We start from the raw sequence: 26,620 nt of genomic DNA on the forward strand, positions 1-26,620 counted from the left end.
GGTCTACTGGGGAAGACCTGGACCCTGAACCACAGGGACTGTCCTGGAGCCTGGAACTGTGGATGCCTACCTGGAGCACCATTTTAAATTGTACATTTCAGTAGATTTTAGTATATTCAAAGTTATGAAACCATCGCTAGTAAGTTTAGAACACTGTTGTCACCACAAAAAGAAACCCCATACCAATTAGCACTGTGTAGCTATGTTTCACCTTTGTAGAAAAGATGTGCATAACTTTGCAGCAACTTTTGAGATCTAATGCTCAGTTCATGTTTTCCTTCCCTTGTCATGGTGAGCTGTTATTCCAGAGATGGGGAACCATGGCCCCACATCCAGCAGTGGTGATGAAAATGCAGACAAGCCCTTGATGAACTAAGAGAAATATGTGGGGTGTCCAAGAAATAAAGCTTTGTTAAATTACTAAGATTTTGGAAGTGGTTTGCAGACACAGAATAATCTAGCCTAACATGACTAATAAACACAGGATAAAAGTCTGTTTAATGAGAAACTACTTAGGAGAAGCAAAAATTAAAAAAAATATGTTTAGAGTTGGTTATTTTAAAATGACTCTGAATACTAATCACCTTCTTGAAATGGGGGGAAAAGAGGCTGATTTTGAGTCAGATAATCATTAAAAAGAAGTTACTTCATTTGAGCTAAGAAAAAGTCACTTATATTTACCAAAAAGATATTCTAATATGACTCTTTTCTAAACTTTGCTCTTCTGAGGAAAGCAGGATAGGTAGCACTGTTTGATACAATTACGCTTTTTTAAAAAAAGTTTTGTTTTTTTCTTCCTGGAATTCTGTTTGAAATTTATTTGGTCTGTGGTATAAGATGAGGTCCTAGATTCACACCCTACCCTAAACACTTTTCCTTTAGCCTATATTAAACATAATCTTTCTTCTTAAATGAGTAATCAGAATACTCCAGGTCTCCATCTTTGATATCACATCACTGTTCAGTATGGTTGTGAAATATAATATGTGCGATATTCTGTACTGATCTTAAGACAGACTCCATTCATTACCAATGCTACAGGCCCAGTTTAGGTTTTTAGTATTCGTCATCACTGCGAAGTCCTCTCAACTAATCTCCATGCCTTGTTTTCTCCTCTTCTAATCTGTTCTTTACTAGTTGCCAGATTAAACTTCCAAAAACACAGTTCTGATTATGACAGTTTCCTATACAAAGTTTTTGCTCTCAGAAAAGAAATAATTTAGCCAGGCATTTGTATTATTGCTAGAGCTACTGTAACAAAGTCCCACAAACTGGATGGCTGAAACAATAGAATTTTATTGTCTCACAGTTCTGGAGGCAAAAGTCTGAGATAAGGTATTGACAGGGTTGGTCTTCTGAGGAATGAGGAAAAATGTATTCAATGCCTCTCCCCTAACTTCTGGTAGTTTTCTGGCAATCTCTGTCATTTCTTGGCATATAGAAACATAATCTTAAACTCTGCCTTTATCTTCACATGGCATTCTCCTTGAGTCTGTGTTCAAATTTTCCCCTTTTATCAGAACACCAGTAATACTGTATTAGAGCCCACCCTATTGAAATATGATCTCAACTAATTACACTTGCAACAACCTCATTTCCAAATAAGGTCACATTTTGAGGTGGTGGGGGTTAAGACTTCAACACAAATTTTGGGAGGGGCACATATCAATCCTTAATAGTATTCAAAGCTCTCCATAAGGTTTCCTACTTACCTTTTCAGCTTTATCCCTCATTATCTTGCTTCTTCACTTTATACCCGAGGCAGTGTAGACAACAAGAAGCCCTGCCTTTTTATGAATCATTACAATACTTTTCCATTTCTGTGTATTACTTCTCCCCTAATTCTTTTGTATCCATTTACCAAATCCTATACATTCTTCAAGGTCAAGCTTAAATGATCCTTCTTCCATAAGGATAAACACAAATTTCCTATGTAAAAACAACTTCTCTCTTTTTGCCTCCCTAAGTACATTATCTACACCTGTCTTCTGCAATTTAGCATGCCTTAACTTGTGCTGTACATGGCTTACATAGTTTATTACCTACCAGACAGTAAGTCCTTTATAAGAATGAGGTACACGTTTGACTCATCTTTTACTTTTCCCACAGTTCTTTTCATAGTGCTTTAGAATAAATATTTATTGAACAATATTTATTTTATATTTATGAATATCATAGAAATTACAGTTTAAAATCTTTGATACTGGTTATTTTATGATTTTATGATTGCAGAAAAAATTCTTAACGGATACTTTTGTTGTTGTTGTTGAGACAGGTCTTGCCCTGTCGCCCAGGCTGGAGAGCTGTGGCATGAGCGCGGCTCACTGCAGCCTCGACCTCCTGGGGTCAAGCAATGCTCCTACTTCAGCCTCCTGAGTAGCTGGGACCGCAGGCATGTGCCACCACACCTGGCTAATTTTTAAACATTTTTCTGTAGAGATAGGGTCTCCCTGTGTTGCCCAGGCTGGTCTCGAACTCCTGGGGTCAAGTGATCATCCTGCCTTGGCTTCCCAAAGCGCTGGGATTACAGGTGTGGGCCACCATGCCTGGTCGATGGTTTTATCTTTAATATATAGTATGAAAATAAACAAATTGTTTCCCAACCAATACATAGTTTCAGACCCTAATCCTGACCCTATCTAACCAATTAGATAATTTGAAATTACCAATATTCTGTGAAAGCCTATTAAATAACCCTATATTTTTTCATACAATCTTGTTTTTAGAAGTTCTAATGAAACAGAAAGAAGCTTCATTTCATTCATTGTTACAGTTGATTCAGTATTTATCAATTCCATTCAAGGTAGTTCAAACTTACTGTTTAAATGGTAGAGAATTTCAGAAAATTTAAAACTTAGAAACGGTGCCAAAACCATACAAAGGTTTGAGAGATTTGGGCTGGAATTTATTTCCCAAGAAGTAGGGGTGCTTTGCCTGTTCTCTTTTTAGAAGAAAAAGTGAATTCTATATATTACATGCTTCCTTTGCCTTCATATGTACGTATACTGATATTCAAATGTGGCATAATTTTAGATAAGAACTATAAAATAAACCTTCAGAATATAGTCATTAAGAATGTGTCAAGATACTTCTTCTATACAACGTTTTTAATGAATAAGATATCATTAAGAATTTATATTCTAAACAAACAATTTAAATAAATTTTGGTATTTACTAACTTAAGTATTCAAGAACCTGGTTTGAAGAGTCCAACAGACTGAAAGTCTGCTTTTCAAGAGAACTATGATCGTCTATCAATGGAGAGATTTTCGTATTTCTATATTCTAATAGTTCACGATCCTTGCTTGATGTCAGTAATTCATTATCGACTATACCAATAGTTGCATCTTCCACCAGAATATTTGCTTGATATGCTCCAATCGGAATTTCAGGCAATCCAATGTAGTCATGATCTGCCACTACTGAACCTTGCAAGAGATAAAGACTTTCTGAAAAAAGAAAAATCATACATTTGACTTTTAGAATTATAATTAAACATATTTTTTAATTAAACAATTTTAAGTGAGGAACAAAATCCCAAGTAATAAAAATTAACTATCAAGATTAACTTCTAGGGAGTTATACTGTCTACTAAATATGAATGTCAAAGAATAAAAAAATGACATATAAATTTGACAGTTCATACATAAACAATGCAGGAAAGGTCAAGGATTTTAAAACAGCCATTTTCCTGTTCCCTCAACCTGTCTTTGGTAGATATGTATATATGCGGACAACGGGATAGAAGGAGTGAGAATTATGGTATAGATTAAAAATAAAATAATAAGGCTGTGCACAGTGCCTCATGCCTGTAATCTCAGCACTTTGGAAAGCCAAAGCCGGTAGATTGCTTAAGCCCAGGAGTTCAAGATCAGCTTGGCCAACATGGCGAAACCCCTTCTCTACAAAAAATACAAACAATTAGCAAGGTGTGGTTAAGGGTGTCTATGGTCCTAGCTACTTAGGAGGCTGAGATGGAAGGATCACTTGAGCCTGGGAGATTGAGGTTGCAGTGAGCCATGATGGCACCACTGCACTCCAGCATGGGTGACAGAGCAAAACCCTGTCTTAAAAAAAAAATTATAAAACTATTTTTGATAATGTTATCCTTAATATGCTTCTGTAAAGCATTTCTGGGTGAATTAATAGGGTCATATAATTATTTTAACAAATAGAATTATTAAATCCTTGCATTTACAACTTGAGATAATCTTCCAATCTTTATAAAACCCATATTGGAAAGATAATATCATCAAATTGTTACAGTATGAAGTTAAAAACAACATGCCAACTGAGGCTTATGTGATAATGTGTAAGAAGGCAGGCTGCCATGGAGTAGCTTAAAAAGCTTAGCTTATTTAAATCTAATTTGATACCAAAATTCTTAGGAACTTTTAAGGTCTACCTAAGCCATACTGAAGTACTGACAGGGAGTCTTCCTGGTCAGTGTTTTATTGTATGTTGAGCAAATTTATCATCACCATCAAGAAAAAAATGTTTAAAATGAATGTTAAACTGATGGCAAATCTTCTATACACAGACTAATATGTATAAAAGGATTCCTCCCTTTCTGATATTTGAATTCATTACAATAAGAAACTCTTTTACCAAAGCTGATTAACTTCCTGGATCCCTACCTTCTCTTTCTAAATGTTCCCCCAAAACATCAGAATATAGATATAGATATATTTATTTATCTTTATTTACTTATTTTTCATTCATTCATTCATTCATTCATTCACTCATTCATTCATTCATGGTCTTGCTCTGTCACCCAGGCTGGAGTGCAATGGCGTGATAACAGCTGACTGCATCCTTGACCTTCTGGGCTCAAGTGATCCTCCCACCTCAGCCTCCCAAATAGCTGGGACCATAGACACATGTCACTATGCCTGGCTAATTGTGTTGCCTAGGTTGGTCTCCTGAAGATGTTAATGGGTTAAGGAGCCCTCAAATTTTAAGACCAAAAAAGCAAAAGGAAGATTAATTGCCTATTTAGATTAGAGACCAATGGAAGTGTCTCAGAACAGATGAATTTGGTAGTATATTTTGAAAATCAATCCTACTGTACTCACCCTCATAACATTATTACAAATAGCTCACTGAACCTATTTCAACCCCAGAAATTCATGCATTTAACAACTTTCAATTTATAAACTTTAACAGATCACACAAAGCTATTCTCTCTACCAAAAGATGGCATAAGTGGGCTTGGGCTTGTATGGCCATTTATTCTCCCATAATTCTGAAAGACAAAAAAAAATAAAATAAAATAAAAATCATGCAGCCAGGCAGTGGCTCATGCCTGTAATGCCAGCACTTTGGGAAACCAATGCGGGCAGATCACTTAAGGTTAGGAGTTCGAGACCAACCTGGCTAACACGGTGAAACCCCATCTCTACTAAAAATACATAAATTAGTCAGGCATGGTGGCATGTGCCTGTAATCCCAGCTACTGGGGAGGCTTAGGTGAGAGAATTGCTTGAACCCAGGAGGTGGAGGTTGCAGTAAGGCGAGATCGCACCATTGCACTCCAGCCTAGGTGACAGAGCGAGACTCTGTCTCAACAACAACAACGAAAATCATGCAACACATGAGATGTGTTATACCCAATAGCAGCAAGAGGGAAGAAAACATGATCAATAACATTGAAACACTTTCAGAATGTGTTGCTAGAGGTTTAACATCAAAGTTTGCAACTACCCTACTGTTAATACGAGAGAAGGCTAGGCGGTAGTTTATAAGAGAACATTAAAAGGTTAGATAGGGTAAACATGTTGCTGATGAAATTTTCTACTAAGTCATGGAGAATTCCATAGGTTCAAGGCCTGTACATTCCTACAAAGTTATCAGTGATGGCAGTTACCATAGGCATTTAAGAAATGCCCAAAGACTCTTTCAGAGGATTAATGAAGGAGGTTTTCTGTCTGTAAAAGTTTTTTCATACAGATGAAGTAGGACTACTTTAGAAAAATATGTCTAGTAAACATATGTCAATAGGGAAAAATATGCCTAGATGTAAAGCTCTTAGAAATTTTCATTTTAATTTGCTGAAATGGATTCAGAGACCTTGAACTTGAGTACCTCCTAGTTACACTGGTTAGAAACAAATGGACATACCAACCTCACTTGATTTTAAGAGAGCTTCTGTATGTAAGTAAAATAAGTCACACACGAACACACACACACACACACACACACACTCTTTTTCTTCTAAAAAAAGTTAACCTTTAAAGTAACTTATTGTAATAAAACTGTAGAGAACAAGGACTACACACAGCAAATTCTACATAAATCACTTTATACACATAGAAAACCACTCTGAATATGTCAAAGGCCTGTTTGTTTACAAAAAAAATTCTCATTCATTTGCAAAGGTCAAATATGTTTCAACTCCTACTATGGTCTAAATCTACTGGAGCTAAGAGAAATGCTCTTTAATTTCAGTAAAGAGATCAGAAAAGAGACTCTTGTGGCCTTACATGTTGAACAAGTAATATTTTGGATACACTGGATTATATAAAATATATTATTAAGGTTATTTTCATTTATTTCTGTACTTTTCAAAATGTGGCTATTAGAAAATTTTAAATTACATAGCTCTTGTATTATTATTCATCTATTGGACAACACTAATCTAAAACAATCATGAGTTAGGGATACAGAAAAGAATATGATTAAACTTTCTGCCCTCAAAACAGAGGCGGGGAGTAAGCAAACATATCATATTAAAGGTCTTTTCTAGTCAGCTACATTACACAGTACATTTCACTAAGTATTTATCTTTTCTCATTCCATTAATTTAGTTATGATTATGACATCTGTTTGATGAAAGCATCATTTTGGTTTTGACAAGACTGAATAAGTCTTTAGTTTCTTTGAAATTAAAATATTTTCAAGACATTTCAGGAAGGTATTAATCAGCAGTTTTGATATCCATTTCTAATGTAGGTTTTTTTTTTAAAGAGATGGGGTCTCAGCCAGGCATGGTGGCTCACGCCTATAATCCCAGGGGTCTCAGCCAGGCATGGTGGCTCACGCCTGTAATCCCAGTACTTTGGGAGGCCAAGGCGGGTGGATCACTTGATGTCAGGAGTTTGAGACCAGCCTGGCCAACATGGTGAAACCCCGTCTCTACTAAAAATACAAATATTAGCTGGGTGTGGAGGTGGGCGCCTGTAATCCCAGCTACTCAGGAGGCCGAGGTAGGAGAATTGCTTGAACCCAGGAGGCGGAGGTTGCAGGCAGCCAAGATCACACCATTGCACTCCAGCCTGTGTGATAATAGTTGAACTCCATCTCAAAAAAAAAAAAAGATGGGGTCTCACTCTGTCACTCAGGCTGGAGTGCAGCGGTGCAATGTTGGCTCATTGCAGCTCAGTCTCCCGGGCTCAAGTGATCCTCTGCCTCAGCCCGCTAAGTAGCTAAAACTAAAGGTGCGTATCACCATGCCCGGCTAATTTTTGTAGGGACGGGGTTTCACTATGTTGCCCATGCTGGTCTCGAACTCCTGAGCTCAGGCAATCCTACCTCGGCCTCTCAAAATGCTGGGATTACAGGCATAAGCCACTGTGCCCAGCCTTAATGTTGTTTTAAGGAATAAAAATAATAATTAAAAAATCAATTTTTAAATTTCCCTGAGAAAAATAAATACAAATTACAGCTTCAAAAAAGTCTGATTTAGATTAATGTATTTCTTCAATCAGAAAAAAAAAGATAAAGGTTTCAGACTACTTAATTTTCTTATTTTAAAGAGAAGTGACTAAACTAATCCTATATATGGTTTGATAATCCTCAAACTATTAGAATGTGCTGCCATACTAGTATATCCTTTCTCAAGATAAAATAATAACTATAACTTGATACTAAATCACTGTCATTATAATAACTAATACTGTCAACAGATAACTGAGTAACTATTGGTTAAGAAATTATATAACTGGACGGGCACAATGGCTCACACTTGTAATTCCAACACTTGGGAGGTCTAGGTGAGAGGACTGCTTGAGTCCAGGAGTTTGAGACCAACCTGGGCAACATAGTAAGACCCTGTCTCTATAAAAAACGAAAAACTCAGCCAGGCATGGTGATGCATGCCTACATTCCAAGCTACTTGGGAGGCTGATGTGGGAAGATTGCTTGAGCCCAGGAAGTCAAGGCTGCAGTGAGCTATTATTGTGCAACTGCACTCCAGCACGGGCAACCATGTAAGAACCTGTCTCAAAAAAAAAAAAAAAAAAAAAAAAGGAAAAAAGAGAAAGAAAAAAAAAAGATATAACTAAGAGGCCAAAAAAAGGCTCTCTGCATAAACTATATTAACGTCAAGATCATGGTCTTGACACTATAGGGACTGTGCTTTGCTTTGTTTCATGAATGCAGACCATAATTGTGGTAGGCAGCATAATAGGCCCCTAAAGATGTCAACATACTACTCCTTGGATCCTGTGAATATGTAATCTTACATGGTGAAGGAGAATTTAGGTAGTGATGGAATTAAGGTTGCTAATCAGATGACCTTAAAATAGGGGGATTATCCTGGACTTTTTGGGCAGGGCCAAGGTCAAGGGTCCTCAAATATAGAAGAGGGAGGCAGAAGAGGAGGTTGGAGTAAGGTGATGTAAGAAGGACTCAACCCACTATTGTTGGCTTTGAAGATAGAGGGACCACAAGCCAAGAAATGAAGGTAACCTCTAGAAGCTGGAAAAGACAAGAAAATGGATTATTTTCTAGAGCTTCCAGACAGGAACACAACAGTGCCAATACCTTGATTTTAGCCCAGTAAGATCTATGTTGAACTTCTAACCTTCAGAATTGTAATATAATAAATGTGTGTTGTTTTAAACCATTAAATCTGTAGTAATTTGTTACAGCAACAAGAGGAAACTTATACAATAATGAAAATGGTTTCACAAATGGGGCTTTCAACTGTGAAGGGAAATCAGGCTAAAACCTTGGGTGAGGCAGATCCAAATCTATCACAAACAAAATAAATTCAAAACTGTGCAAAATCTATGTCAGATTATTTTTTCCTTTCAAAGAGGAGCATTATGATTACAAAAAGACACTATGGTATTTTAAGATTTCTTGGTCTAAATAGTCTGAAAAAGCGCTTGGCAATGAACTAGACAAAAAAACAAACAGGCCTGCTTAAAATAGCAATGAAAAATATTGTATACCTAGTACTGAATGTGCTCACTCTACATTTAGTTCTAGATAAGAATGGATAAGAAGTTGGCAATAGAAGTATATCTACTTTAGACAGTGAGTTTTTAACAGAGCTATGAAATTTCAAGGCTAGCAAAGAGCAGCAATGACAAATGTGGACAAATAAATTTATAGTTCTTTTGGCTATAGCATGTCAAAATTTATGTCAAATAAAAACTTCAATGATTAGTCAAAATCATTTTGTTTGCTTTAATTCAGCTCAAGGACTCTTTCAAATCAACTTGTGAGGTGATTTTCAAGAAAATCATGGAAAAGATTTTCAAGAAAGTATGTAATATTGAGGAAAAAGATGGCAGAAATCACATTTACTTTTAATTTCTACAAATGAGAAAAATGTAAAAAAAGGATCAAGCAATAAGAACCAGATTCTAGGATGGCCAGATCAGTAGTTCCTTTAGTTAACAAGAAAAACTAAAACAGACTCATCTAATTAGTCTTAAATTCCTTATGCATACACCAGTAGTCATATTGCAATATTATTTGTCCTTATATTACTGGAAGAATCTTGTGCAAAGAATTCAAGTATGAGGCAAATATTATACTGCCTCTGTTTAGAGACTGTTCTCAAACAGAGAAGATGAGTTCTGAAATACTGAGTTCTGAATGTTCAGAAGAAGCACAATATTTGACTTCTTTTCTGAGAAACTCTTTGACAAGAACAAATTACAAAATGTTGATAGATCCTGGTTTAGCAAAATTTTAAATTAAATTTTGTATTAAAGAAGCTTAACACTTTAGAAGAGAGCAAATCATGAATGTCAAAGATTAAGGGGAAAATCATGCTAAAGAAGCTAGAACAACATATACTTGTATAACCTTTTTTTTCCCTACTTAACTTGCAGAAGAGAGAGATCATTAAAGGTAGCTCAGAACTGAGAAGAGGTACAAACAATGCAAGCTTTTATCTTCTAACAAAGAGAACGAAAGCACTTGTGAGTTTTCAGGATTAGAATGTAGTTCAAGATAAGTTTACTGACTAAACAACTCGGTCTGTCACAAGAAGGAAAGGTACTAAGAGGTTTTAACATGAGTGTTGTAACCCAGATTAGAAGCAGAGTTGAGCTATCATTACTAAGCAGCCCACATGGGCTTTAGAACTCAAGAAAAGGCATAGGGTAAGTGTAGGTTATTTGTTGTTGTTACTCTTTTTGTTATTAATATTTGCTAAAGCCTGTCATATAACTTGTTTATATTGTTATAAATATATTTTCCATTAAATGTTACTTATATCCAAATAATATTAATGTTTCACCTGGCTAAGTTACTCATTAACTCTCTCTCAGTTATCCACCTCAGAGAAGATCTAGGAAGCAGACACATTAGGACAAAATAAAAGCCTTGATAAAGTGGGGAACATAATCTAAAAGCCATGGCAAAAACATCACTTTACTAGGGTATCTTGACTGTTCAGAATGAGTCAAATTTAGGGGCAAATATAACTTGTTTAGAGTGCTGTCACCTCTTCTTACAGCACCTTATAGCATTCTGAGGATTCCCCACTCTGCACCCACACCTGGCCCCCAACCATGACCTAACTATAAAGCAATATTAAAAATTAATGTCATTTTTAAAGTACCCTAATATTTATCTCACAACTAGATTCTGGACAGTATGTTTGTTTTTGGCATTAATGATCACAGTTGCTGTTTTTCATGCCAAAAAGAGGCACGAAGTGACTAATACATTTGTAAGGCCAGGTGCAATGGCACATGCACGCAATCCCAGCACTTTGGGAGGCCAAGGCAGGCAAATCCCTAGAGGCCAAGAGTTCAAAACCAGCCTGGCCAACATGGTGAAACCTCATCTCTACCAAAAATACAAAAAAATTAGCTGGGCATGGTGGCATGTGCCTATAATCCCAGCTACTTGGGAGGCTGAGGCACAAGAATTGCTTGAACCCAGGAAGCAGAAGTTGCAGTGAGCTGAGATTACACAACTACACTCCAGCCTGGGGGACAGAATGAGACTCTGTCTCAAACAAACAAACAAACAAAACATTGAGAAAGCAAAAACAGAGATGATGTTAAGATGTTATCTTTCCTTCAGAGGAAAACAAGTTCAGTATCTCCCACATAAACTATGAAAAACATACTAGAAATAAAAATAAAAATGCCCAGGCACCCTGTTTCATGCCTGTAATCCAAGCACTTTGGGAAGTCAAGGCGGGCAGGTCACGGGAGGTCAGGAGTTCAAGACCAGCCTAGCTAACATGGTGAAACCCCGTTTCTACTAAAAATACAAAAAATTAGCTGGGCATGGTGGTATCCACCTGTAGTCCCAGCTACTCGGGAGGCTGAGGCAGAATTGCTTGAACCCGGGAGGCAGAGGTTGCAGTGAGCCAAGATCGCGCCATTGCACTCCAGCTTGGGCAGAAAGAGGGAAACTCTGTCTCAAAAAAAAAATCTCACAGGCCTGACAGTTCCAGAAGAGACACTGTAATAAAACAGACTACCTGGGATAGCTAAAACTGTAACAAATTTTATGAAGAAGGGAAAAGAAAACCTAACAAAAGAGGGGAGAAAGGTTTCTGTTATTTTTAACTATTCTCCTTACCTAAAGCAATAAAAATGTAGAGAAGTGACAGATATTTACCTTGTTCACTGGATTCTCTTATGTAGGGCTTAAGGTGGGACATTTTGATAGGTCTTTTCAGTCTAACCCCAGTGTTGTCTCTCAGGACAGCACATCCACTTTCTGTAATATAGTCTATGACACAAGGACCAACCCATTCAGACTGAAAACGACCATCCTTCCACCAATTTTTCCTTTGTCTTAAAACTTCATGACCCACTTTTAAATGAAATGGATTTAATTGTTTGGGTTTCTTTTTAACAATGATCTTGCTTTTATTTAGTTCATCCAAATTGTTGTTCTCCATCTACAAGTGTAAAAAGAAAAAGAACAAAGAGATGAAAGAGCTATAATATCTTGAAGGTAAATGCAAATAATGAGAATATTGTAACAAAATGGTACTTGAGATGCTACTAAAAGGTAGGTATGAATTCTATTTAATTCTTAAAACATTTCAAAGTCAGTATTATTAGCTCCTACTTTATATAGAAGGTAAACTAAGATAGGTTAAGTAATTTGCCGAAGTCAAACAACTCAAAAGCAGTTAAGACTACAGATTTGAATCCAGCTCTACTTGATTCCAAAATCCATAGCTTTCTCATTATTGCCTCTCAGCATTTCATAGCTAGTAAACCAACTATTTAATCAAGACAAGAAAAATCTGATAGATAAAAAATTATGGCAAGTAAGTATGTGTGTGTGTGTGCATGCACACATGTATATGCTGAAATTTTAAAAATAAATATAACTTTTATAAAGTTTTAGATTACAGTTTTTCTATTGAATAGAATCACCTGGCCCAGTGAAGTTGTCTTATTCTCCATTATTTTATCAGCTTCTTTAATTGCATCTAGAATTTTGGCAAACATACTTGTATTATCACCATCCACTTCATGAAGACTATCTGAAGTCTCAGGCATATAAGGATTTCGACTAAACATTTGAAAATATGGTGTATTTTTAGTAGGTTCCTATTTTAAAGAAAATAAACGTCAATTTTGTAATAAAACATTTATCTGGCCAAGAAATAGTCATAACTCAGAAGTACAGAATTATAAAAAGGCACATACCAAGTGAGTTACATTGAAGGCAAATGAAACAGCTGATAGGTGATCATCCCAATTGTTTGGGTGGTCAGCACAGTGTTTGGAGAGAAATGCTTTGATTGTGTTAGGTGTACTTTCCGTTGGGTTAACAGTTCCAGAGGTGTGAGAAATTACAATTTGCTTTATGCCAAACAATCTGTACAGTTCAATATTGATCTGAAAAATATATAAAACAAAGGTGGCTTTTTAAAATTTGTGTTTTATTTTTCCATTGACTTAAAAAAAAGCTTCAAAAGAATTAGAATCTTGCCTTTTATTTATCTATTTATTTTTTTGAGATGGAGTCTTGCTCAGTCACCCAGGCTGGAGTGCAGTGGCAAAATCTCGGCTCACTGCAACCTCTGCCTCCCAGGTTCAAGCAATTCTTCTGCCTCGGCTTCCTGAGTAGCTGGGACTACAGGTGTGCGCCACCACACCCGGCTAATTTTCGTATTTCTAGTAGAGACGGGGTTTCACCATATTGGCCAGGCTAGTCTTGAACTCCTGACCTTGTGATCCACCTGCCTTGGCCTCCCAAAGTGCTGGGATTACAGGCATGAGCCACTGCGCCTGGCTGAATCTTGCTTTTTTATTGACCATAACATTCTATATGAACACATACATAAAATATGTAAAATTTTATGTATAAAATAGTGATTGCCATTTATTGAGTCTTTACTACACACTGGTCCCATCACACTAGACACTTTACATTATTGTCATTAAACCTTACAAGTTTTTGAGGTATTATTAATTTCATTTTAAAGGTAAGATACTGAAGCTTTGAGAGATTAAGTGCCTTGCCAAATACACACATACAACAAGGAAATGGAAGAACAGAACTTAACGTTAACTTTGAGTTTAATTTTTTTCTTTTTTTTGGTGGGGGGCGGTGGGAGACAGGGTCTTGCTCTGTCGCACAGGCTGGAGGGCAGCCTGCACTACCTGGGTTCAAGCGATCCTCTCACCTCAGCCTGCCTAGCAGCTTGGACTACAGGCATGTGTCACCATGCCCACCTAATTTTTAAATATTTTGTACAGATGGAGTTTCACCATGTTGCCCAGGCTGGTCTCAAACTCCTGGACTCAAGCAATCCATGCACCTCAGTCTTTCAAAGTTTTGAGATTACAGGCATGAGCCACTGTACCCGGCCCTCAAGTAACTTTTTAATTCAGTAGACAGTGTCTCAAAAACAACCCACTAGGTCATAAGTTAATGTTTAAAAAGCATGTAAAACAGTTATTGGCAATAAGCATTTTATAACTTTTAACTTATAACTACTATTATTGGTGTTACTATATTATGTGTAGCACTTAAAATGAGTTTACAAAACTTTTAACAGTAAACCCATTAAATATAAAATAATATTTTTTTCCTACCTCACCTTTCAGACTTTTTTTTTCCTTATTATTTTTAGTTGAGTAAACCTTTGGCTCATAAATTTGTCTTTTTAAAAAAGAATATTTCAGACGAGTAGTATCAGAATAACTAAATAGGCAAAGTTAATACAAGAGGGGAAAGCAATAAAAAGAAAACTACATTTCCCAAACTCCCTTGCAGGTAGGGGTGGTCATGTGACATAATTCTAGCCAAAAAGTTGTAAGTAAAAGTTGTTAGGCAAACTCAGCTGGTACTAGCTTTGTTTGCCCAACACTCTCTCCCTTCTTTCTGACTGAAATGTAGGCATTGTGGCATGTGCTCCAGCAGCCACGTTGTGAATACAATAGGAGTGACTCTCAATCACTCCCAATATATATTGGGATAATATATATACAATATATATTAATATATTGAGATAGGGAAAGGAAGTCTGTTACTTGGATTGAATACACTTCCTAGCTGATATACATACTAATTCAGGGTGACTATTTTTAATTCAAAATTAGAAAGAAATCCCAAAGAATAGGTGTCATTTGGGTCAGCTTCAATCTGAGTCTTGATTAATGGTTTGAAATGACCCTTGAAAAAGGCTTTAACTTCTTTGTTTCAAAAGCTTGCCTAGGAATGATCCAGGGAATCCATTTGTGAAATGGTATCTTGACATCCTTACTCTGTCAGCCCCCCAACCATCAAACCAGATATTCCGTCAGTTCTTACAATTTTAGTTTTCTGTAAGACATTTAAAAAAATTAATTTTCCTACTGAATATGTTTGTTCTCTTTCCTTCAGAGGTTTACAAAAAGTTCTTTGTGCATTTTATTGGAACAATTTAGCAAATACTCTAAGCTAAGCCATTAGAAACATCTGTATTTTTATTCAACTATACAATAAACCTCCCACATTGTGTATTATGTTATAATATTTAGCAGTGTTTTCTGCATCAGTATTTGCTGACAAAAGAGTTCATTTTGTACTGTCATCGTTATGCTTTCTGTGTAATAGTGAAGCCATTTTAATCACAGCAAAAAGAACAAGTTTTCCCAATCATATGTCGCTTTTTTGGTTTTTTGTTTAAGCAATCTCACAAAATAGGCCTGCAAATATTTATTGTTACCCTTTATTTTTTATTTTTTTTTTTTGAGACAGGGTCTCAGTCTGTTACCCAGGCTAGAGTGCATGATCTTGGCTCACTGCAATCTCAACCTCCTGGGCTCAAGCGATCTTCCCATCTCAGCCTCCCAAGTAGCTGGACTACAGGTGTGCCCTACCACTCCTGGCTAATTGTTGCATTTTTTGTAGAGATGGCATTTCACCATGTTGCTTAGGCTAGTCTCGATCTCCTAGGCTCAAGCAATCTGGCTGGTAGGATTACAACAGGCATGAGCCACTGAGCACAGCCTATTATTATTATTATTATTATTTTTTTGAGACAGGGTCTCACTGTTGCCCAAACTGGAATGCAGTGGTGCAACCATAGCTCACTACAGCCTTCACCTCCTGGGCTTAAGCAATCCTTACACGTTAGCCTCCTGAGTTGCTGGGACTATGAGTGTGCAACACCACGTCCAGTTAATTAAAAATTTTTTTTTTTTTTGTAGAGACGGAGTCTTGTTGTATTGCATGGGCTGGTCTTGAACTCCTGGTCTCAAGTTATCCTCTCACCTCAGCCTCCCAAAAAGCTGAGGTATGAGCCACCATGCTTGGCCCTATTGTTACCTTTAGAAAAATTTTCAAAGTCCTGGTTTGGTTATCAAATGACTTTAAACACGACTGGAAAAACTGCTAGCTAATCATAATGGCTTCATATTATCATTAGCAAATACCTTGAAACATTATATGCACTTAGGGTAAGGCTCTCCATCAATAAAAGTGGAAGTGAACTGATATTTCAAAGAGTATTCTTGATAATTTTGAATTTTGATGCCTAATTTCCTATCAGATCTGATAACTATAGTCTCCCTTTACCTTCAGAGAATATGTTTCAAGGCCCCTAGTGAATGTTTGATACTGCAGGTAGTACCTAACCCTATTTATACTATGTTTTCCCCTATACATACATACCTATGATAGAGATTAATTTTTAAATTAGGCACAGTAAGAGGTTAACAACTAAAAATAAAATAGGACGATTAACAATATGCCAACATCACTACTCTTGCACTTTGGGGGCATTCTTAAATAAAATAAGGGTAACTTGGATACACACTACTAACCACTACATTTGATCTGATAACCAAGACAGCTATGAAGTGACTAATGATGGGGAGAGAGTAGCATATACAATGAAGATATGCTAGACAAAGAGATGATTCACGTCCCAGTTGGACAGAGCAGGACAGCATGAGATTTTATCACTATACGCAGAATGGTGTGCAATTAAAAAACTTTTAAATCATTTATTTCTGAAATTTTGTATTTAATATGTTTGGACTGCAGTTGACTATAGGAACTGAAACCTCAGAAAGTAAAACTGCAGATAAATGGGGACTATTGTAGTTAATATTTGTATTCATCTCATTGATGTGTCTAACAAAGAGCTGGAAGTTAAATAGACGTGCCGGCGCTATCACTTTCTTGTGGTTGATGATGGGTGTTTGCCTTTTAGTATTATCTGCTTTCACTGCAAAAATCTAAGCTCCCTGGCCATTTTGTGAGTAGTGTGGTGAATGCTAGATGATATCCATACTTTCATTCAACTGCTGAAAGCAAAAGTATGGGTGAGGAAACATGTGGATTCTCACTTTTCTTTCAGGATACCTTCACATAGCATGTGTGACATACATGTCTTGTTGATTGAGTCAGAATGCTATTATCAATCGTATACATTATTAATAAAGCTTCATTTCTTATTTTTGGGATTTAAAAAATATAAATAGAAGTTCCAATAGCCTTCCCCCAAACTGGATGGCCTTTACGTACTCCATTGCTCAGACCACTGCTATGTCAATCAAGGCAGGCAAGACTACCTTGCCTTCATTTACAAAATTATCTTGCTTTATTTGCAAGATTGGCTTTTATATGTTGATTACTTTACCACATAAATCTCCTATTATTATGCAGCCAAATTTAATGTTTTTCCATTGAAGTTTATACCACTATTCCTAGGTTTAGAATGTGACCTCCATTTCTAGAGATTAAATGTCAAATATATTTTTTTCTGTTTCTACTTTAAAAATTAAAATTCTTTTAATTTACCTGAAAATACTTTTGGTATTGGATTCTAAAATCATATTACAGATATAATTTTAAACAATTAGCAAATTGTTACCTGTTAATTAATTACATGATCCTCCTCTACTAGACACATTTGTGACACTAGCTTTATCATTTAAACCATTGTTACCAAACTTTGTGCCAAGTTGCCCCCTTAACATCTGTTTGACACCATGAAAACTACCAGTTTAAGGTAGTTCAGTTTCAACATTAGATCAGGTTACAATTTGTTTGATGACATCATATCTTTACAGAACTGTTTTCTTCATCGAATGCTGTGATAAAAAGCAGTTACTATGTAAAAATCAGTGTGAAACAGGAAATGAGGGTGGCAGTGTACAATATGATCCCAAGGTCTGAGAAGTTAAGCAGTGGTCAACAGGTACACATTACCCATTAGCAAGTAATTATGGTTAAGAATGAAATGAAAGGGCTGGGTGCGGTAGCTCACGCCAGTAATTCCAGCACTCTGGGAGGTCGAGGCAGGTGGATCATGTGAGTTCAGGAGTTCAAAACCAGCCTGGGCAACATGGTGAAACCTGTCTCTAAAAGAAAAAAGGTACAAAAATTAGCCAGAAGGCTAAGGTGGGGGTATCACTTGAGCCTGGAAAGTGGAGGTTGCAGTGAGCCAAGACGGTGCCACAGCACTCCAGGCTGGGTGACAGAATGAGACCCCGTCTCAAAAAAAAAGAAAAGAATGGAACAAAAATATATTTTCTTTCAATTTATGAGTATTTTAAATTGCTACTAAGTGGTTAGAACATAAATACTTATTAAGTTGTTTGGATGGACCTGTGAAGAAAAGAGTTAACCTGACAGTTAATTTTAACATATTAACAAAGCAGATCTGTGACTGCTGTTCTTTGAAAGGCATGCTTACAAGGTTGGACCTTGGCTAATGTCTAGGAGCTTAGATTTTGGTTATAAGACCAAACACAATCTTTCCTTCTGAGAGTCTGGAATTTTTGTACATGCCAGGTAGAAGGTGCTTATGTGACCAGCGCCCAGTAAAAACCCTAGGCACTGAGACTCTAGTGAGCTTCCTTATGTTGTCACAACTCTGCTAAAGGAATTAAACACGTCCTGTGTAACTCCACTGGGGAAGGAGATCTTGGAAACTTGTACCTGGTTCTCCCAATGTGTCTTTTCTCTTTGCTGAATAAATCTTAGCCATGAGTATGACTATATGCTGAGTCCTCCTAGAGAATTATGGAAACTGGGAATAATCCTGGGGTGCCATGGCACATGTCCTATCTACTAGTTAATACATATTAACTTTAGGTATTTCTTTTGGACTGAGCCATCAAAGATGCTTTCAACCAAGTCTGGCTATCTCTGATTTTTCTTAAACATATACCCTGTCAATTACAAAAAGTTTTAACATATGCCTTAAGTCTAGCAGTTGTTGTATTTCTTATAAAAAGTTTTCATATATATTCTCCCCTGCTTATCCTTTCAGGTTAATTTTAACTGGGAAAAGGCCAGAGCAAGGGAGAAAGTACCTTTCAATACTGACTATTCTTATTCATGAAGAAAATGTATTCTTCCATTTATTTAAGTCTCCCTTTACCTGTCAATCATAGTGTTATTATTATTATTGTTATTTTTTGAGACAAGGTCTCACTCTGTTGCCCAGATTGAAGTGCAGTGGCACAATCTCAGTTCATTGTAACCTCCGCCTCCCGGGCTCAAGTGATCCTCCTATCTCAACCTCCCGAGTAGCTGGGACCACAGGTGTGTGCCACCACACCTGGCTAATTTTTTTTTCTTTTCGAGATGGAGTCTCGCTCTGTCGCTCAGGCTGGAGTGCAGTGGTGCAATCTTGGCTCACTGCAACCTCTACCTCCCAGGTTCAAGTGATTCTCCTGCCACAGCCTCCCGAGTAGCTGTGATTACAGGCGCCCACCACCATGCCCAGTTAAATTTTGTATTTTTTGTAGAGATGGAGTTTCGCCCTATTGCCCAGGTGGTCTCGAACTCCTGAGCTCAAGTGATCCACCCACCTCAGCCTCCTAAACTGTTGGGATTATAGGCATGAGCCAGGCCCAACCAATCATGGGTTTTTAATCTAGAAGTAAATAAAGATTATTTGGTCCAACCTCCTCATTTTAATTTGAGGATATCTGAAGATAGGTTTACAATAACCCACAGTAAGTATTAAAATCCTAATCTCCTAATTTCCAGTACAACTATCCTTGTAGTATTTAATATCATACCTCTATACCTACAGAAATTTATCTGAACTTATTAAGCACTCTGTAATATAATGCAGAGGGCACTGGTTCTGGACACTGAAAAGAAGTAAGATATGCTCCCAGACCTAAGTAGTTTATTTGTCTTACCTGTTGAATGAATTCATCTCTTTGGTCCATTATTATTTTCTGAGGAGGTCCATATAAGAAAAATATATTGATAATAGCTTTAGAAACTTCTGATGCTGAAACATCACATAGAGGCAAAATCACAATCCATTTGGTGAACAAATCTGTCATGATTATAGCATATACATGACTTCTGTTGCTTGTATGAAAAGGCCCCATCAGATCAACAGTAACTAAACTCCATGGATTTTCCACCTTGAGAAGGTGCTGTTTCGGTGCTACAATAACTGTATTTTTTGCCACTTGGCAATGCTGACAAGCATATACCTACAACAGGCACACAATAAAGAAAACACATACAAATGTTAACACTCAACACAATATAAAAGCAGTCTTATAAATCTGAATTTTAAAATGGTTAATAGGTATACTTTGTGTTTTGAAGGAGAAACTTCTGGACTGAGAATCACTGGATTAAACCTATTTAGAATAACAAACAAATAAAACAACAACAAACAACTGTAGTAGCCACTACAGCTGACCCTCAAACAACATGGGTTTGGACTGTGAAGGTCAGCTTATACATGGCTTTTTTTTTTTAACTAAACACAAATAAAAAGTACTCTATTGATAGGGAGGGATGAGAAACTCAAGTATACAGAAAGCTGACTTCTTGTATATGTGAGTTTCACAGGGCTGACTGCAGGACTTCGGTATGAGTAGATTTGGTGACAGGAGTGTGGTGCTGGAACCAATCCCTTGCATATACTGAGGGAAGACTATACTACCAAATGACCATCTTATTGGGTCTTATTCACATGGAACATAAATCTGGTTCACATTCAATAAATATTTATTAAATACTTAAAAAGATCTTAAGTTTCCTATTAAATCAGTATGTAAATTTACAATAATTTCTATATACATAAAATGTTTCCTTCTAAAGTTATCACATTAAGAAGCTTATTCATTAATCTATTCCAACCATATTTATTGAAATATAATTTCATTCATATAAAATGTATAGATGGAGCAATTTCTCTCAATCGTGGGAAAAGAATAAACATACACAAAACCCATGCTGTCCTGCAGCTTTCATTTGAGTGAGGTGAGACAAGATCAACTGATCAATTTATGGATGGGTGCCATTTCTCAATGTATCTCTGGAATTCCACTCTAGAAACTACTTTCAAACTAGCTTCTGAAGAAAAATTTAAAAGCCATTTAATCCCATTATAGTCACAGTTACTTTTGATCAAAATTTTCACTTTCCAATTTAAACTTATTTGTTGGATTTTATCACAAATAACTTCTGATTATTTCCAAAAATCATATTCATTCTCCAGTGATAACAATTTGACAAAGATTTCACTGAATGTTTGTAAAAAATGCACAGCAGGAAAAATATATAAATTATGAAGGTCTTTGGAATACCTGAATAGACCCACAAACTGATAACTCACAAATTATACTTATGAAATTTTGGTTTAATTCTTTATGCTTGAAATGCCACTCTTTTTGATGTACTACTACAATTATTAAGGAGATCTCACAGATATACCAAGGAATTCCTACCATTTGACATACAGTACACTGGAAAGAGTAGAATCAGCTGACTTCCAGCAAGAACCCCAAAATTCCTATAGGTGAATTTTCTACTAGAAGTTGAAGGTCCCAATGGGTCATAAAGTTACAAAACTCAGACTTATTTCATTATCCTCAAAATTTGATTTTGGTTATATTTGGTTTTGGGTTTCTGTCATGTATGACATTCTACCTCAAAATGGAACAGGCACAAAAGATAAGAGCACATACTGGGCTTGACTTACTATGAACATATTCTCCCCTTAAGAAAACCTTGTATGACTGCCATTGAAGAAGTAATGATTTAGTCAAATGAATTCCAGCTCCATTTAAATTCTGCCTACACAAAAAAGTTCAATGATACAAATCTGATTTTTTAAATAATCTCTTATTTAAATATGGTATTTTCAAGTGTTTAAATAATGCTTCTTTCCTGTTCAAATTATACTTAAGTGATTTAAAATAACTGTGAAGGGAAATACAACTCCCTTTAAGTGATTGCCAAAAATACTTAATGAGAGGTGATACCCAGAATAAATCTGGAGAAATAATAAATTTTAAGTATCTATCAGAAAGACATTATTCATAATACTCTAAATACATAAGCCATACCCACTGTTTGACATCATTGGTCACAGATGTCCAATAATAATTGGATTCTACCAGAGTGAGGGTCCTGGATATACCATGATGAGCTCCACTGTCATTTTCATGGCATTCTCTTAAGACTTTCTTTTTTTCCTCTTCTGAAACAATTACCAAACGATTTTGTTTTCTGTCTTTTCCAACATAAAACAGCTTTTTTTCTGGAATAAATGATACCAAAAGATAGAATTGCAATTTTTAGAGATCTACGTAGTTTTAAGAGAATCATAGCCTTCTCTTTAAACCATGAAGGTTTTTGTTTTGTTTTGTAAAATCTTACTGCATTTAAAACAGAATATTTATTTTTAATGATGCTACAACACAAAGGTTCTTAGCTGTTACACTTACTAGATACTTAGGAAGGGCAGTAGCTGCTATAATTCTGTAGCTATCAATATAAGTAGAGCAAGCTTGTTCACCAAAGCACGTAATAAGTACGGAAATATGAAATTATCTCTCTCTGGGAGTACTCAAAGTAGGAAGATTTTGCAGGCACCTCCTAAAAATGGCATAGATTAGCAAATAAATTATGTACAGAAAAACAACTTCCTGGAACAGAATTTTCTAAAATAATGTTTTATCATCACTGTATTTTTGCAAGCAAACAGCTCTCTCAGCTTCTTCTATATTTGAGAAGGTAGGGATGGTGAAGCGGGCAAGTGGAAAAAACTGTAATCCTCAAGACAATTCTCTGTTTCCTTAGGAGGACACCTGAGAAGAATCTGCAGCTAGGAAGTAACCAGGGTATGAAGCGAATCACCATCTACCTTTCCAATGTGAATGGGCTAGCAATTCAAACTCCAAAATACACCATTCAGCTACTAATATGAGTAAGCCAACTGATGAGTGGAACACTCCTTATTTTTTAGAATTAGAAGATAAGCAACCTAAGAGCAGGAACCTTATCTATGTTATTCATCAATGTATCTCCAAGGCTTAGAATGTGACTGGCACACAGCAGAAACCCAGTTAACATTTGTTACATAAATTATCAAATATATGAATGAAAGAATCCTCACTTTAGTTTAAGAGGTAATAGGTCTGCCTAATCTTAAGTATAAGGGAGTTATTGGTAGGGATATACACAGGGAGATGCAAGCAGACATTTATTTATTATCCTAGAGTTTTATTAACCTGTTTTGGGGTAAGCCTAAGAGGCAAAATTCCCATTTGTAACACAAACATTCATTCAATTATCTGGTGACTACTTGTTGTTTATCTCATCCCAAACTTCTCTTCCCCTTTATAAGGGGAAAAAGAGGCAAAAATTATCATGACCTTCCAAGATAAATATCCCACTGCCTTTCAAATATTTAATCCATTCAGGAAGATCCAAGGGTCCTAAAATGAATGTGATCCTGAGAATATTTAATGGCAGTGGTGGGGTTCAAGGGGACATGATCACAGAAATATAGTTAATTCCTTCCAGTTTTCATTTTAGTAAACAAACCAGTTAACTTTGTCAACATTTTCATATTAAGCATCAAAAAAGTTCCTCATTGAAATTGGCAACAGTGCTGGAAAGTGCACCATTAGAGACCACGAGAGGGTAAAAGCAGAAGTTGTTAATTTAGAAAAATGTTTTGTTTTCTTTCATGGTATCATATTCTGTCTATAATTTAAACAACCCTTTTCACGCTTATTGGCCTTCAGTTAGCTTGAGTGTAATTTTTATTTTGCTTTTGATTGAGTGGCATCATCAATTCAACTGGTAATTGTTTAGCAACAACCAACTACTACAGAAATTCCCAAACTTCCACAAGGAAGAATGTGGGGAAGAATCTACAACTCAATAATCAAAATTTGAACATTAATTTTACCTTTGAAGACAAATTTTTTTGCTGCTCTTCTTATGCCACTTCTCTCACTTGGCAGTGTAGTTGAATGATATTCACCAGTTCGTTTGTAATATGCAATCTGTTTAAGATGAAGGTCACCATTTTTTCCACTACGGACCATTGTGAACCTAGGTAAAAGGTATTTAAAAAGATAACTTAAATTTTAAGCTAACTGAATTGCTATTTCAGTTAAGACTTCTGTCATATTTCTATTTACATATGAACCGAGAATTCCCAGAATTTATTTGTGAGGGAGATAATTGCAGTACAGGAAAGGAACAGCGATGTATATGAACAAAAATACTCAAATGCTATTTTTGATATACCCCATGACAAATTATCTTGTCTCTTTCCATTTGATAAGAAATGCTGAAAATTTTCCACATACTGAGAAAAAAGGAAATGAACCAGTACACTTCAAAAAGTTTTGCTTAAAATTTCATTGCTATCAACTGAAATGTTACATTCACAGGATGGTAACACAGGAGGATCCTGTCATGTGACATTTAAATAAATAAGTTATAAGAGAAGAAATATAGCTTTATATTATTTCTAAATATATTCATGGTTATTTCTTCTTCTTGTCACCTCAGCCCTAAGGTGGTAACTATTTTTGCTTTTGCTAGTCTCCAGGTGCCATGTTGTTTACTTTGCTACTGTCTGTCTATAGAAAGGAGCTCCATTAAATTTTCTTTAAAATCCCACCAGAATGTCTTCTGTTTCCTGCTAGGATTCTGACATAAATCTTACAATTTTGAAATTACATTTAAAAAAAGATGTTTACTGACCACTGGAAGATCTAGGGATGAGACTAAGAGTATTTACTGGAAAGAGAATGCTGGAACAAAGCAGAAACAGACTGTGCCTATTGTCATGGCTTAAACAGCTTACCAATTCACTTTCCCTATGACACAGCTCTTTGCAAATGTAAAACCGTCTTTCTGATCTACTTTTAACTTCCAGAGAGAGTAACAGTACATTTCTTACCTTAGGTTAACATAAAGTATATGTCAATTTAAAAGAAAAGGTTCTGAAATGTTAACACAGTCCCATCATAACCTAAAAAACAGGTTAATTATCTCTATAAAGTATTATAAGACAATCAGTTTGTTCTAAGTTTAATTCACTTCCAATTGATTATTAAATACATGATTTTTTTCATCTTCTAATAGATGGCTGCATCCCAAACCAAACAAATGCAGCCTATCACAGTTTCTGAATCATCTCAAAGATGAATGGATGAGATTTAAGACTTTTTATACAAATAAAGTAAATAAGACAAGCCAATTGGCATAAGGACAGACAAATACATCACTGTAATTGAACAAGGAGTACAGAATTACATCCACACATGTAAAGTCAATACGTTTACAATGAAGATATCAACACAATGAGGAAAGAGGTGGTCTTTTCAATAAATAATGTTGGACAATTAGATAACTGTATTAGGGGAAAAAATGAACCTTAACTACCTACCTCACATCTTACACAAAAATTAATTCCAGATAAATCATAAACTTAAATGTGAAAGATAAATAACAATGATTCTGGAAGAAAACATAGGAAAAGATCTTTCAAATCTTAGGCTAAGCAAAGATTTCTTAAATAAGACACAAAAAAAAAACACTATCCTTAAAAGAAAAAAAAATTAACAATAGGGCTTTATCAAAGTAAAAATGTGTATTCATGAAAGACACCATTAAGAAAGTGAAAACATAGGACACGCATTGGGAGAAGATATCTGTAATACATATATCTAACAAAGGACTCAGACCCAGTGTATGCAAGGAACTTCTAAAAATCAAAAAGAAAAGGACAAAAACCCAATTCAAAAAATGGGGGGAAATTTCTACACAGCACTTCATAAAAGAGAATATCCAATGGTCAATAAGCACGTGAAAATGTGCTCAACATCATTATTCCACAGGGCAATGCAAATAAAACCACGATGACTTAGAATTACACACTACTGAACAGGCTAAAATTAAAAACCAAAGACAACACCAAGTGTTGGTGAAGACAGGCAGCAACTGGAACTCTCATACATTGTGGGAGGATAAAATGTTGCAACCACCTAGGAAAACTGAGTTTCTTCTAAAGCTGAGCACAAATTTACCCTAAAGGTTTGGCAATTCTAATTTTATATTCCAGTGAAATTAGTCTATGACTATCAAAATATGTGTACAAAAATGTTCATAGATATTTTATAGTCATAATAGCCACTAAATGGAAACAGTAAAGGTATCAAGAAGTTTTACCATGCGTATACTCTGTTCTGGTCCTGTAGCCACTTCTATTGTTACCAAGTTTCATGTCGCTCCAGGTCAGTGCTTTTCAAACCATCTGTGGTGAAACACTAGTGGCACCCTACTGCCCTCCAATCTGCCACATAAGACCTCCTGATGCCTTTACTTTCCATGTCATCCTCACTACACTCTCTCCTCTGCCAGGACTCCATGGCAAACTTTTACTTCCTAATCAATTTTCAATTCATGAAGCCTTGTGTCGTTTCAAGTTGGGAATATAGAACCTGTTTGTCTACCCATCCATTTGCCTGCCTATCATTCTAGCTCTGCATTAATCGTCCTCAACTCTTAAAAAAAAAAGAAACCAAAATCATTTTTTCTTTGTGTCCTCTATTTTCATCTCTATACTACAATGATAACACATTCTTTCAAGTCTAAGGGACAGAAACCTGTCCCTTCTCAGTTTAGATGAAATCAATATATAGACTATACATACTGTAAAATTAATAAT

General features: G+C 35.9%; 1 protein-coding gene across 5 annotated transcripts in view; it reads right to left on the reverse strand.

The window, feature by feature from the left end:
• Positions 1-1,276: 1,276 nt before the first annotated feature.
• Positions 1,277-26,620, reverse strand: part of GIN1 (gypsy retrotransposon integrase 1) — a 34,139-nt gene continuing 8,795 nt past the window's right edge. For 2 of the 5 annotated variants that reach the window (NM_017676.2, XM_017009599.2), the window contains exons 2-8: positions 23,846-23,991; positions 21,993-22,186; positions 19,818-20,123; positions 12,867-13,058; positions 12,591-12,767; positions 11,818-12,103; positions 1,277-3,449 (exon numbers count right to left, since the gene is read on the reverse strand). In NM_017676.2, the coding sequence (NP_060146.2) occupies positions 3,175-3,449; positions 11,818-12,103; positions 12,591-12,767; positions 12,867-13,058; positions 19,818-20,123; positions 21,993-22,186; positions 23,846-23,984 (1,569 nt within the window). In that variant the 5' untranslated portion in view covers positions 23,985-23,991 and the 3' untranslated portion in view covers positions 1,277-3,174. Of the gene's footprint in view, positions 3,450-11,817; positions 12,104-12,590; positions 12,768-12,866; positions 13,059-19,817; positions 20,124-21,992; positions 22,187-23,845; positions 23,992-26,620 lie in introns of those variants that run through there. The other 3 variants (NM_001317954.2, XM_047417343.1, NR_134299.2) reach the window with 3 other exon arrangements.

Source organism: Homo sapiens, chromosome 5, assembly GCF_000001405.40.
Source record: "Homo sapiens chromosome 5, GRCh38.p14 Primary Assembly".
Lineage (NCBI taxonomy): Eukaryota > Metazoa > Chordata > Mammalia > Primates > Hominidae > Homo > Homo sapiens.